Source organism: Homo sapiens, chromosome 15, assembly GCF_000001405.40.
Source record: "Homo sapiens chromosome 15, GRCh38.p14 Primary Assembly".
In the NCBI taxonomy this organism is placed as follows: domain Eukaryota; kingdom Metazoa; phylum Chordata; class Mammalia; order Primates; family Hominidae; genus Homo; species Homo sapiens.
In genome coordinates this window covers 92,516,398-92,530,229 of record NC_000015.10, presented here as the reverse complement: position 1 = coordinate 92,530,229, position 13,832 = coordinate 92,516,398, and the positions used below count along the sequence as shown (strand labels likewise).

The following is a 13,832-nucleotide window of genomic DNA, read 5'->3' as shown; positions in this document are numbered from 1 at the left end:
TTTCACAAATCTCTAGGGCAGGGGCAAAATGCCACCAGTCTCTTCGCTAAAACATAACAGAAGTCACCTTTGCTTTAGCTCCCAACAAGTTCCTTATTTCCATCTGAGACCACCACAGCCTGGACCTTATTGTCCATATCACTATCAGCATTTTTGTCAAAGCCATCCAACAAGTCTCTAGGAAGCTCCAAATTTTCCCACGTTTTCCTTTCTTCTTCTGAGCCTTCCAAAGTGTTCCAAACTTCTGCCTGTTACTCAGTTCCAAAGTCACTTACACATTTTCGGGTATCTTTTCTTCAATGCCACTCTTTACTGGTACTAACTTAATGTATTAGTTCATTTTCACTCTGCTGATAAAGACATACTGGGCAATTTACAAAAGAAAGAGAGGTTTAATGGACTTACAGTTCCATGTGGCTGGGGAGGTCTAACAATCATGACAGAAGGCAAGGAGGAGCAAGTCACTTCTTACATGGATGGCAGCATGCAAAGAGAGAGAGAGAGTTTGTGTAGGGGAACTCCTCTTTTTAAAACCATCAGATCTCGTGAGACTTATTCACTGTCATGAGAACAGCATGGGAAAGATCCACCCCCATGATTCAATTACCTCCCACTGGTCCCTCCCACAACACATGGAAATTCAAGATGAGATTTGGTTGGGGACACAGCCAAACCATATCACCCATTCATAAGAAACCATCCCTGTGATCTAATCACCTCCCATCACGTCCCACCTCCAACATTGGGGATTAAAATTCAACATGAGATTTGGGTGAGGACACAAGTCCAAACTATAACAGCCAGAGAGGTTGGAGGGGGAATGGTTGCACAGAGCCCATGAAGATATGCAGCTTTAGGGAGATGTCCATGCTCCACTGGCACAGGGAGGACCAGAGGGATTCCAGTGCTCCCAAACTTGGCTTGAAAGGAGTACAGAAAGTTGCAGGGCCAACAGCATTAGATACCAGCAAGAGGGGTGTATCCATGAGCACTTGGAAGGACAGATGTCTGAGAGACAGACAGAATGTAGCATGAATCAGGGATGTTTGTAGGAACAAATGACTTAGGTTGATAGCAAGGACTTCTCTTCTTTTCCCTCTGTTTTGCCACCCACCCATCAGGTACCTTGCCCAGGAGTCCCATAGAATGTTGAGTCTACACTGCCCAAAGCCAAAGCTAGGGATACCCTCAAATGGCGTTGAACCTGGGCTACCTCAGCTGCTAGTATAGTTCCATGTGGTTGTGGAAACTTCATAAAAATGCCTCTTATGGGTGGTCAAGTGCCAAGATGATGCATTTCCCTGGGCTGATTCAGCCCTATGTTCAGTGTGTGGCTTACCATGAAGGGCACAGGCTGAATTTCAGCTCCTACAGAAGCTCTCAGCTGAACAGGGCTTAACCTGTGCAGCCAAATGTGGAGGCCCTGTTTAGACTGAGGTTCAAACCCTCCAGGTGACTTTAGATCACCTATAGCTGTGTAGAAACAAGCTTTTCTCACCCAATAAGAGAGAGAAATTCAGTGATGTGTTAGCAGTACCCTGGGCTAGACATCAGAAGATTCACTTCTGGGAAATGCCATTTGTTCTCCATGTGAATCAGCATTGAAACTTGGAACCTCAGTTTCCTCATATGTTAAATGGAGGAGAAGAGCTCCTGCTTTTCCTTGCACAGCTGTAGTTTGGGTCAAATTCAGAGATATCCAGGAGGCTGTTTCGGGAGTGATGACTAGGGCTGAGCCACTAAAGTTCAAGAAGTCATGGAAGGAGGTGAGATGATGGTGTGAGTCCTTTTTTTTTTTTAAGGGGTCTTGCTCTGTTGCCCAGGCTGGAGTGCAGTGGCGTGATCTCGGCTCACTGCAACCTCCACCTCCCAGGTTCAAGTGATTCTCCTGCCGCAGCCTCATTTTTCGTATTTTTAATAGAGATGGGGTTTTGCTATGTTGGCCAGGCTGGTCTCAAACTCCTAACCTCAAGTGATCTGCCTGCCTTGGCCTCCTAAAGTGCTGGGATTATAGGTGTGAGCCACTGCGCCCAGCCAGTATGAGCACTTTTGAGCAAGATGTAAAGGTCAGGGGCCAAGGAACCTGTTTTTGTGGTAGGCTGAGTCTGCAGTTGGAGAGCAAGTGCAGGAGGAGGGGCCCTGGGCTGCACAGTGACCCAGGAGCTGGCCCAGGAGGGGCCTACAGGGTGTCCTTCAGAGCACTGTGAGTGGGAGGTAAGATTTTGCTGGGGCAGATGAAGTCTGGGTCCACCACCATTTGGTATAAATGGGCCCAATTTGGGCCGTGTGGCTTGCCACATGCAACTCTAATGTTAGAGAGCTGAGTCAGGAGCCTGACTGTGGCAGTCCAGGTCCAATCAGGAGACAGAAACTACACAGCAGATCAAAGAGAGAAAGTCTAATATAAAGAATGGTTATGACAAAGGAGTAACTTATAAGCAAATTTGTCACGGCTCCCTGTGACTAAGGGCGCCTACCCGAGGAAGGAAAAACTTGCTAGGGGTTAGGACTTCAGAGGTGAAGGAGTGGGAAGCAATGGAGTCTTCTTGTTTGGTCTGGAGTTGCTGGATAAGAAACGGGCCTCCGTCTGAAGTGCAGAGAAGGGAGCAGCAGTGGCTGGGTGTGCACACAGAGACCAGGCACTAGTGGGCTGGAACTTTTGGAACATGTGACCCACGCATGGGCTTTGGTTTCCATGTTAAGGGGGCTGCAGAAAAGTGATCGTCCATCCAGCAAGGCTGCAGAGTCACAGAGGGACTTCAGGTGGGTGGAAGAGTGGGGAGAGGCAAGGACACAAGTTCACCAGATGCCCTCACACCACCTCCAGCTGGTACTGGAAACAGCAGGAGAGCCAGTTTCTCCTGCAGTGCTCCCTGCTGAGGAGGCTGACCTCATGTTTACTATAAAAAACACCATGTACCTGGCACTCACCCAGGCTAAGTTCCACTAGCTGCCTGCCTGGCTGTTTTATAAAACCCTAAATGAAACAATCTTTAAAAAATGATGAGCTATCTCTTTCAGGTTACAATTTATTTTATATAATTTTGTTATTTTAGAAAAACATCCCAAGGTAATGTAAATCAGTCCAACCATTGTGGAAGACAGTGTGGCAATTCCTCAAAGATCTAGAAGCAGAAGTACCATTTGACCCAGCAATCCCATTACTGGCTACATATCCAAAGGAATATAAATCATTCTATTACAAAGATAAATGCATGCATATCTTTGCAGTGGTATTCATAGTAGCAAAGATATAGAATCAAACCAAATGCCCATCAGCGATAGACTGGATAAAGAAAATGTGGCACATATATACCATGGAATACTATGCAGCCATAAAAAAGAACAAGATCATGTCCTTTTCAGGGACAAGGATGGAGCTGGAAGCTGTCATCCTCAGCAAACTAACACAGGAACAGAAAACCAAATACCACATGTTCTCACTTATAAGTGGAGCTGAACGATGAGAACACATGAGTGCATGGCGGGGGGAACAACACACACTGTGGCCTGTTGGGGGTGGGGTTGGCAGAAGTTAGAGCATCAGGAAGAATAGCTAATGCATGCTGGGCTTAATACCTAGATGATGGGTTGATCTGTGCAGCAAACCACAATAGCACATGTTTACCTACGTAACAAACTTGCATATCCTACACATGTACCCAGGAATTTAAAATAAAAGTTGAAGAAAAAAATTAAATTAAAAATTCTTAAAAAAAATTCTCAAGGTTACATATGCACACACATATACATAAATTGACCAGAAAAAAGCGTGACAGTATAGGTTAAGGGAGCAAACTAGACCACAGACTATTATGATCCAAACTTTGTTCAACATAAGTCATTGTCAGTATATACATATAGCCAAATACCTGGAAAGATGCATAAAGAAATGTTGACCTGTTTTTTCTCTAGTAGTGTGGATAATTTGTTATTCTTTGAGCTCATCTGTGTTTTCCAATTTTCTACAATAAACTTGGTTTACTTGTGCATTAAAAATAGAAGAAAGAAGAAAGAGAGAAAGAGAAAGGAAGGAATGAAGGGAGGAAGGAAGGAAAGAATGAAGAAAGAAAGGAAGAAAGAAAGAAAGGAAGGAAGGAAGGGAGGAAGGATGGGAGGAAGGAAGGAAAGAATGAAGAAAGAAAGGAAGAAAGAAAGAAAAGAAGGAAGAAAGAAAAGAAGGAAAGAAAGAAGAAAGGAAGGAAGGGGAAGAAGGAAGGAAGGAGGGATGGAGGGAAAAAGGAAGGAAGGGCAGGAGGAAAGGGAGGGAGGAAGAGAGGGAGGAAGAAAGAAAAGGAAGGAAGGAAATAAGAAAGGCAAGGAAGGAAGGAAGGAAAGGGAGGAAAGAAGGGGGAAGGAAGGGAGGAAGGAAAGGCAGGGGGAAGGAGAACGACCTTGAGCTAACCCGGACAAAATGAAATGTGAAGATGTACAGAAGTGCTCAGCGTGGGTGAGCAACTAACACATCTTAGTTCCCCCGGGACCTTTGCTTTGCCAGGTGGAGTGAGAGCTGCCACATTCTCCTTCTTAGGCTCTGCCACCTGTGACCTCAGAGGCATGTTCTGGCCCTCAAGCTGCTTTTTGAGGATAGCTGTGGCCTTGGACGATCCTAAAGCTGCAAAACCATTCAGCAGCTGGGTGGACGGGAGGTCAGAACTCAGTTTGTTTGGCCTGGCTAAGTAGGTTATACTTTTATTAGACATTAACCTAGAAAAAAGCCGCAACCTGGGGAAAGATTTCTATTTAGAGCCAGGAAACTAGGCCACTTCTAAGATCAGTGACCTACATTTTCTGCTATAGAAATTTAAGATGAAATAGCGGTTGTTGCCATGCATGTGGGCGCTGAAACTCCATCAAAGGGCAGGGAGACAAGAAGGGGAGGAAGAAAGGGAGGCAGGCAGGGAATTTTAAAGAGCCGCCGTATTTGAAATCTTTTAAAACCAAGCCAACAATATTTAATAATGGAAGAAAAATGAGTATCCCAGCTGTGTATTTGTTTTCCTGGAAGAGCAATGTCTGCTAACTGGTAGCTCCTTCAGCAGGTAAAAAATCCATTTTATTCTGAGGCCTGTTAAAAAATGACATCTCCCCCAGGCCCCTGCCAGCCGTCCACAAAGACAAATCTTGGTGTCTCACGCTGGCTGCCAGCTGTCTGCTTTTTGTTATAGACTTCTGAGAAACTGTTTGCTTGATCTCATTGATCTGGGCTCTTTAGACTGGACCCTGTGGAGCCTCTAAGGTTAATGGGCTCTTGGGGCCTGAATTCCCATGAATCTTGGTGGTTGGGGGGAGTGGTTGTCTAGAAAAAGAAAAACAAAATGACAATAATGTATAGTGCTTTCTTATAATCCATAGCAGCCACATTGTGGAGTTGGATGGGTCAGGACCAACATTTAGGTTGTAACAACCAGATAGAAGGCTCCCAGGCCTGTGATCATTTCATTCTTCTTCAATTCATACTGGATTCTCTGTGATGTTTGTAATGTGGACACAAAGAGACCATTGCACCCATATCTGTGGTAGAATTTCTAATATTCCCCAATATCTAGCTCTCCTCTAATTCTGGTTCATCGAGCCTTGGAATTTCCCATGTCAGTGGTTCCGGTCATTGTATGCAGCAGAAGTAACTTGACAGGCATAGCATTAAATGCTGATGCTGGGTCCCTTAGCCCCCACTTTTCTGCATACCCAACAGGCTTATGGGAGAAGCCAAAATAATGGGAAGGTATAGCCCCTGTCCTTTGGGTCTCAGAGTGAGGATGACGTGGAGCCAACTCTCCTCATCCCCAACCCTGCTTGGGCAGGTAGCATTAGTGAGAAATAGTCCTTTGTTATTTTAAGTCACTGAAACACGGAGGTGGCTTGGAAGCCTGTCCTGACTCATGCAGTATCATATTAACTCGTTCTTGGAACCAGTTACTGGCTTTGCCAATCAACTAAAAAACCAAAACAAAGAAAAAAACAAAAGAAATAAATGAATGCCTAACGTGTGCTGTGCTTATTGCTGGAGACAGTAGGGATATAACGTTCACTGCCTCTGGGGTCACATGGCCTCCTCTTTTGTGTGTGTGTGTTTTCCACGAGTAAACCAAGTTTATTGTAGAAAATTGGAAAACACAGATGAGCTCAAAGAATAACAAATTATCCACACTAGTAGAGAAAAAACAGGTCAACATTTCTTTATGCATCTTTCCTTGCCTTTCTCTTAAAAGAACACTTGTCATTGAATTTAGGGTCCATCGGGACAACCCAGGATAATCTCATCTCAAGATCCTCAACTTAATTACATCTGCAAAGACCCTTTTTCCAAATAAGGTCATATTCACAGGTTCTCAGTGGACATATCTTTCAGGGGTCACTGTTGAATCCACTACATGAACACTTTCCCAGTGCCAGCTACTAGGCCAGGCAGTTTAACTTTTCACCTAACTTACTCTCCTGTTAAATCTCCAAAGTAGGTATTATCGTGTTCATTTTAAAGACCACGAAACTGAGTTTCAGGGAAGTGAAAAAAACATGTCCTAGGTTACACAAAGGTGGGAGCCAGGAGTTACACCTAGGTCTTATTCCTAAACTGGGGGATTTCATATATCAGTACATCTCTCCAAATGGATGTCATCTTCTTCAAACCACTGTTGCTTAAAAGATTTCTGGAACTCCTCTGCTTCAGAACCACTTCACAAGCCATGCAAGAAAAGCCTGCCTGCTTGCATTACTATCATCACAATTTGAATGTATTTGGTTTTAGGCAGCTTTATTTTCACATGATGTAGCTCACAGATTAAATTCTGCTTACAGTGAACAGGCCACAGCATTTGACGAATCAAAGCCTACGGCTTCCTCAAAGCACTAATTACTCAAAAGCCTATTAACCTGTTTAAACCCAGCCAAAGGCTTTGATATCCAATGGAGAGGCCTAGGTAGAGATAAGACCATTTGAAATGCCCCAGTACAAGGTGGGTGGTCCCCTGGTGTGACCTTTCTACTATGTTCCATGATGTCTGGAATGCATCTAGATATGGCCTGTTAGCCAAACATACATGAGTGGAGTCTGTATGTGTGTCTGTGTGCACACAATATGTCTTTCTTTTCTCCATAAATCCAGTCTGAGTTATCATGCACTACTGACTCCATCCCCAACAGCCACCTCCTGTCTCCTTTGCTAGAAATGCCTCCTCCCCTTTCTTTGCTAGAGGCTACATGACATCTAGAGTTGTGAAGCCAGCTCTACTGGTGGGGAAACAATTGCTGACCTGGAGATTCAGAACAGAATGATGAAAAATAGCTGTGATTTAACCAGCTGTGCCTGGAACATCCTACCTCTGGACTCAATGCAGGATCATCAATGCCTTTATCTGAATTTTGTGCTACCTACTCCAACAGCATCCTGTCTGATAACAGGAATTATAACAACAATAATGTAACATTCGGCCAGGCGCGGTGGCTCACGCCTGTAATCCCAGCACTTTGGGAGGCCGAGGCGGGCAGATCACGAGGTCAGGAGATCGAGACCATCCTGGCTAACACGGTGAAACCCCGTCTCTACTAAAAAATACAAAATAAATAAATAAATAAATAAATAAATAATTAGCCGGGCATGGCGGCAGGCGCCTGTAGTCCCAGCTACTCAGGAGGCTGAGGCAGGAGAATGGCATGAACTCGGGAGGCGGAGCTTGCAGTGAGCCGAGATCACGCCACTGAACTCTAGCCTGGGCAACAGAGGGAGACTCCATCTCAAAAAAAAAAAAAAAAAAAGTAACATTTGAGTATGTAGTATACGCTAGAAACTCTTCATAGATGATCACATTTAATTTTCACAACAATACTATGACACAGGTATTATTATTTCCATTTTACAGATGAGGAAACCAAGGTGAAGAGAGGGTACATAATGTACCCAAGGGCACATAGTGTAACAGAGGCAGGATTTGAACTCAGAGATATGTGCTTAACCCCTACACTAGGCTGGCTCTCATTGAATAACCATCCTGAAGCTATCCTCATAGGGTTAACAAGAATTCCAGACAGAAATATATTTATAATTAAGCTCGAATCAGGCTGCAATTTGACCCACTTGCTTGTAACTAGATACTGACCATTTGCTTCCCTGTTGTTCCTATAGACAGGATTTCTGAGACTAGAATCATAAGACTTGTTTTAGATAAATAGGATTTCTGATCTTACATTCATAAGGCTTTTGCATAAGAATTGCTTAAGATGTGTTTTGAGATCCAGAATTCCAGTGAAATAGCTGACACCAACTAGTTTGAAGACCCCATAGAGGAGTGGAATCAGCATGAGAATAGAGCTTCTTCATCTCCCTGTCCCGTGACTTCATCCTGTACTCTTCAACCAATCACAGTTCGTGGACCTATCTCCACACTTCCGGCCACTCCAAAACACTTAAAAATCCTAACCCCAAACTCCACGGGGAGATGGATTGGAGGTTTACTCACAGCTCCTCATTCGGAGGCCCTGCGGTTAAACCTCTTTCTCTGCTGCAACCTGGTGTCTGGCCATGGTATTGCCATGGTATTTACTTGCCATGCATATCAGGCAACAGACCTATTATGGTTACAGTCTGGGAATCCTTCTCCCCGACTTCCCTTTGTCATTTTGTATTACTCTGCTCTCCTCTACCCCTTCTTAGATCACTGATTATATTAGTCCATGTTCACACTGTTATAAAGAACTACCTGAGCCTGGGTTATTTACAAAGAAAAGAGTTTTGACTCACAGTTCTGCGTGGCTGGGGAGGCCTCAGGAAACTTACAATCATCATGGTAAAAGGTGAAGGGGAAGCAAGACAGGTCTTACATGATGGCAGGAGAGAGAAAGAGGGGTGGAGGGGAAGTGCCACACTTTTAAACCATCAGATCTTGTGAGAACTTACTCACTATCACTATAACAGCATGGGGGAAACTGCCCCCCGTGATCCAATCACCTCCCACCAGGTCCCTCCCTTGACATATGGGGATTGCAATTTCAGATGAGATTTGGGTGGGGACACAGAGCTAAGCCATATCACTGCTCTAGCCTAGGGACATGCCAAGTGTCCAAGGAGACCTTCATTCAGTGTTCAGTCTGCCAAACCATTTTTCTGCTAATATTAACCACCTTCTTGGTAAATGAGTGAGGGAACAGGAAGCCTTATCTTACCACCTGTTTTGTCAGTTCTTCCTGAAATGGATAAGCTATTTCCACTGGGTAAGTAACCTCAGTTCTTAGGCCCTTGGGCACAGAATAGATGTTTTCTCCTTGGAAGGAGGACATCAAATTTATTATCTGAGAGGAAGGAATGCTTGGAATCTCTTCCTTCTTTTGAAGTACTGGATTAAGAAGGATCCTTACTCTGATCAGCTAGTCATGCCTGCAGAGGGCTTGGGTGAGATGGAGGGTAGGGTGTGTGCTATGTGTTTGCCATTCTTGCCATGGCAAATAAAGAGACATTAAACTCAACAGAGAAAGGGACTTTATTTCTAGATTGAGTGACAGTGGAGGGTTATACCTTTAAGTTAACTTTGCTTTGAATATCACCCCACGAGTGAAAAAGAAAAAGTGTGATATAAATGGCAAGGAAGAAGCACCTGTGCGAGGTGGTTTTCCAAATCTCTTGGCATCCTAATTACAGGGTTAAATTGGTGGAGAAGCCCTGTTCCCATAGGTTAAAAGTAAATTTTAAATTAGTCCAAATTAAATGGCCACAGATTCATGGTCAAATGGTTTTCATTTAATGAGATTTTACTATCTAGCATCTGTATCTATAAAAGTTATTTTTAAAAATTTTATTTATTTATTTTCAGATGGAGTCTGGCTCTGTCGCCCAGGCTGGAGTGCAGTGGTGCAATCTCAGCTCACTGCAACTTCCGCCTCCCAGGCTCAAGTGATTCTCCTGCCTCAGCCTCCTGAGTAGCTGGGATTACAGGCATGCGCCACCATATCTGGCTAATCATTGTGTTTTTAGTAGAGATGGGGTTTCACCATGTTGGCCAGGCTGGTCTCAAGCTCCTGACCTCAGGTGATCTGCCCACCTTGGTCTCCCAATGTGCTGGGATTACAGGCGTGAGACACCGCACCTGGCCTATATTTATAAATGTTATTTTTAAATGAATGCATTCTGTGAGTAGAGGCTTAGAAGAAAAATGGATCAATAGTTTAGCTCAGTCATTGGATTTCAATAGAAATCCTCTCCAACTCCTGCCTGTATTGCTGTTCCCAGTTCTCGGTGCCATCTTTGAAGCTGTCTTTGTTTTACTTGTTGTGGTCATGGGGAGTTACTGGCTCCTTTGTTCACAGGAATCTGAGACTCACTGTGATCATTCCTGGGGGAACAGCTTCATCAGAAGCTAGTCTGGAGAAACTCCAAGAATGTGGTGTACTTCAGTGTCCTGAAAGTGTGCCTCTTGATGGGGGTGGGTGGGCCGGCCACTGGAGGTTGGGTGGTTCTCCCAAGCCTCGCAACAGTGTGCTCTTAATGAATTACAACTGCTCCCATTTTGTTGCCATCAGGTTTTAGGGTACTTGTCAAAGAAGCCCCCCCAGTGCCCCGCAAGGCTTGTCCAAAAAAAAAAAAACAAAACAAAAACAAACAAAAACACTCCAACCTGTTTTTCTATTTCCTTCTTTGGTTCCCTTTTTGCTCAAAGGATCTTGGCAAGATTATGAAATAACTGGTACTTTTCTTTCCAGGCTTTCTTTGCTGCATTCTATTTGCTCTCTGTGCAAACTCCCCAAAAAATCTATGGGGAGCTTTCCTTTTCTGAGCATTTCCTATGATTCAGGCCTGTCTGGGCAATTTATATTCATATTAGCACTCATTTAAATTCTCTCAGTAAGTTTCTATGCTATTTTAAAGAGCAGAGAAACTGAGGCTCAGGGAGGTTAAGTAACTTTGCAGTTTCCTCCTATGCAACTGAGGTCTGAAATAATCTCTGTGGCATGTCCTCCCCAGGCTGCCTCTTGCCTGCTCTGAGACCCCTGATTTCTCCTCCTGTCCCCTACAGCATCTACTTTCCACAGGCTAGATCTTCCCAGCCATTATCCTTTGTTCTCATTGGTTTTCTATTCCATCACTTCCCCTGATGGCAGAGTGCTGCCTCTTTAGAATACAAATCCAATCACACTCTCCCCCGGCATAAATTATGTGTAGTTCCCCATTGCTTTCCAAGAATCCAAGCCCAGCCTCTCTGGCCTGGTATGGCCTTTGCCCTTCACACTCCTGCCCATTGCTCTCTCTCCCCTTCCCTCATCCCCACCAGTTACATTCATCCTTGTGCTTTGTACAGAATTACTGGCAGCACCTAACATTCCCTCACTTCTCTTTTACCATCATTCCTTTGCTCATAATATTCTCTCCTGCCTAAAATGAGCAAGTTTCTGCCCGTCCTTCCACCGAAGAGTCACTGCTCCCGGGAGCCATTCTCATTGCAGGTGCCCAGCTGCCATAGGCCATGCTGTGCAGGACTCTCTTACAGCAGGAGAGCCAGGTCTCTGACCTGGGCTTGGTGCTGGAGATCCCCCTCCTCCAGCTGAGCCCCTGCCCACCTAGCACGTCCACCCTCTCTTCTAGACCACAACCTGGCTGTCAGGATTCAGGAATTATTTGCCCAAATGGACCCCACCTGTTTTCAGGGCCTGAGAGGTCAGGCTGTGCACTCTGAGGTCAGAGGGATGGCCAAGGGGAGGTCACTTTAGGGAGAGAGGTTCTTTGTATGAACGGAGCTTGGACTTACAGGCTGGCTTGGACACAAATGTGCATTCGAGGCCTTTTTCTGATGTCCCATGAAGCCAGGGTGGGAATGGAAAGGAGTCAAGCTGGGATTGAAAACACCCCTTTTCTTGGCACTACAAACATTACATAAGTCCCATCCTTACCAATGGGCTTCTTTTCCTTTTTCTTGAGAAGGGACGCTACCACCTGAGGTGGAACCTTGTTACAAGCTGCACTGGAAGAATTCTGGGAGTCAGACTACAGATGAGCATCTAGAGCCAGAAGTTTTATTTTGGTTGAGAAAGAGTTAAGTCTGGATTAGAAGGCCAGTCTTGGGTGGGGTTGATCAGAATGCATGGTCAAAAGACAGTGCCTTTGAATTATTGTCAGTGCCACGAGACTTTCAAGTGGCACTTCAGAAGGTTGAGTTGAGGGCCACATCTTGCCAGTGCCTTTCGCTGAGTGCTACACCATGGAAAATCACCCTCTCAACTGCCTGTGCTCACTTCCCATGGCTGAAGCTGATACATCCCCTGCCAATACACTTTAAGAGGGACAGTGACAAGCTGGAACTTTCCAGAGTAAAGCCAACAGGAGTCTAGGTGTGTGCCATAGAAGGAGTTGGAGATGTTTGCTTGGAAGAGGAGACTCAGCAGGCAGGGCAATTATCTTCAAATCAATGATATATATAATTCAGATGATGAAATACTAGGTAAATAACTGGTCAAAGAGCTCATGATGCTTGATGAATTGAAAGAAGCAATTTGTAGAATAGTATGCTTAGTGTGTTCTCATATTTTGTTTAAAAATATTAACAAATATGTGTGTGTGTGTTTATGTTATCTATCTATGTATCTCTATCATGTATCTATGTATCTATATATGTATGTATGTATGTATCTATCTCTCTATGCACCCATTGGATATAATGTTTCAGAAGTAGAACAGTTTATAAAACTCAGTTTTTCAGTTTATGAAAATGGATTTCTTAAACCTCTACATCTAAACTTAACAAAACTAGACTCTCCTTTTCTATGAGGAAAACCTGTGATCTTGCAATCACAGGGCACTTATTTCATTTCTGGCCTTAACTTTCATGCGCGTCCGTGTGAAGAGACCACCAAACAGGCTTTGTGTGAGCAACAAGGCTGTTTATTTCACCTGGGTGCAGGCAGGCTGAGTCCGAAAAGTCAGTGAAGGGAGATACGGGTGGGGCCATTTTATAAGATTTGGGTAGGTAAAGGAAAATTACAGTCAAAGGGGGGTTGTTCTCTGACGGGCAGGAGTGGGGGTCACAAAGTGCTCAGTAGGGGAGCTTTTGAGCCAGGATGAGCCAGGAGAAGGAATTTCACAAGATAATGTCATCAGTTAAGGCAGGAACAGGCCATTTTCACTTCTTTTATGGTGGAATGTCATCAGTTAAGGCAGGAACAGGCCATCTGGATGTGTACATGCAGGTCACAGGGGACATGATGGCTTAGCTTGGGCTCAGAGGCCTGACATTCCTGTCTTCTTATATTAATAAGAAAAATAAAACAAAATAGTGGTAAAGTGTTGGGATGGCAAAAATTTTGGGAGATGGTATGGAGAGATAATGGGCGATGTTTCTCAGGGCCACTTCGACTGGGATTAGGGGCGGTGTGGGAACCTAGAGTGGGAGAGATTAAGCTGAAGGAAGATTTTGTGGTAAGGGGTGATATTGTGGGACTGTTAGAAGAAATATTTGTCATTTAGAATCATTGGTGATGGCCTGGATACGGTTTTGTATGAATTGAAAAACTAAACAGAATAAGAGAAGGAGAAAAACAGGTATTAAAGGTCTAAGAATTGGGAGGACCTAGGACATCTAATTAGAGAGTGCCTAAGGAGATTCAGCATAGTCCTGTCAGCAAAGATTATTTATTTACTTCAAGAGTTAAGAGTGGCAGTTTGGGGATAGCACCAGGAGATATCAGCTGTGATGGCTTGGAGAAACAGTGTAAACTGGCAGTGTAAACAAAAGCAGGGCATGTATGAGTAGTTGAGAATGGTGAATAGGAGTATGACTAGACAGAAGATAGTAGGGATGACAAGTTTTTTTGGGGCACAGTCCAAGTTGGTCTGGTGTCTGGAATGAGATTGG

General features: G+C 44.3%; 2 annotated features.

Moving 5' to 3' along the window:
• Positions 8,079–8,671: an enhancer, noted in NCBI's record as "OCT4-NANOG hESC enhancer chr15:93064789-93065381 (GRCh37/hg19 assembly coordinates)". NCBI's record gives its function as "activates a minimal SCP1, AML or CMV promoter by ChIP-STARR-seq in naive and primed H9 embryonic stem cells {active_cell/tissue: H9 hESC(naive and primed)}" and the evidence as "EXISTENCE:reporter gene assay evidence [ECO:0000049][PMID:30033119]".
• Positions 11,630–12,131: an enhancer, noted in NCBI's record as "H3K27ac hESC enhancer chr15:93061329-93061830 (GRCh37/hg19 assembly coordinates)". NCBI's record gives its function as "activates a minimal SCP1, AML or CMV promoter by ChIP-STARR-seq in naive H9 embryonic stem cells {active_cell/tissue: H9 hESC(naive)}" and the evidence as "EXISTENCE:reporter gene assay evidence [ECO:0000049][PMID:30033119]".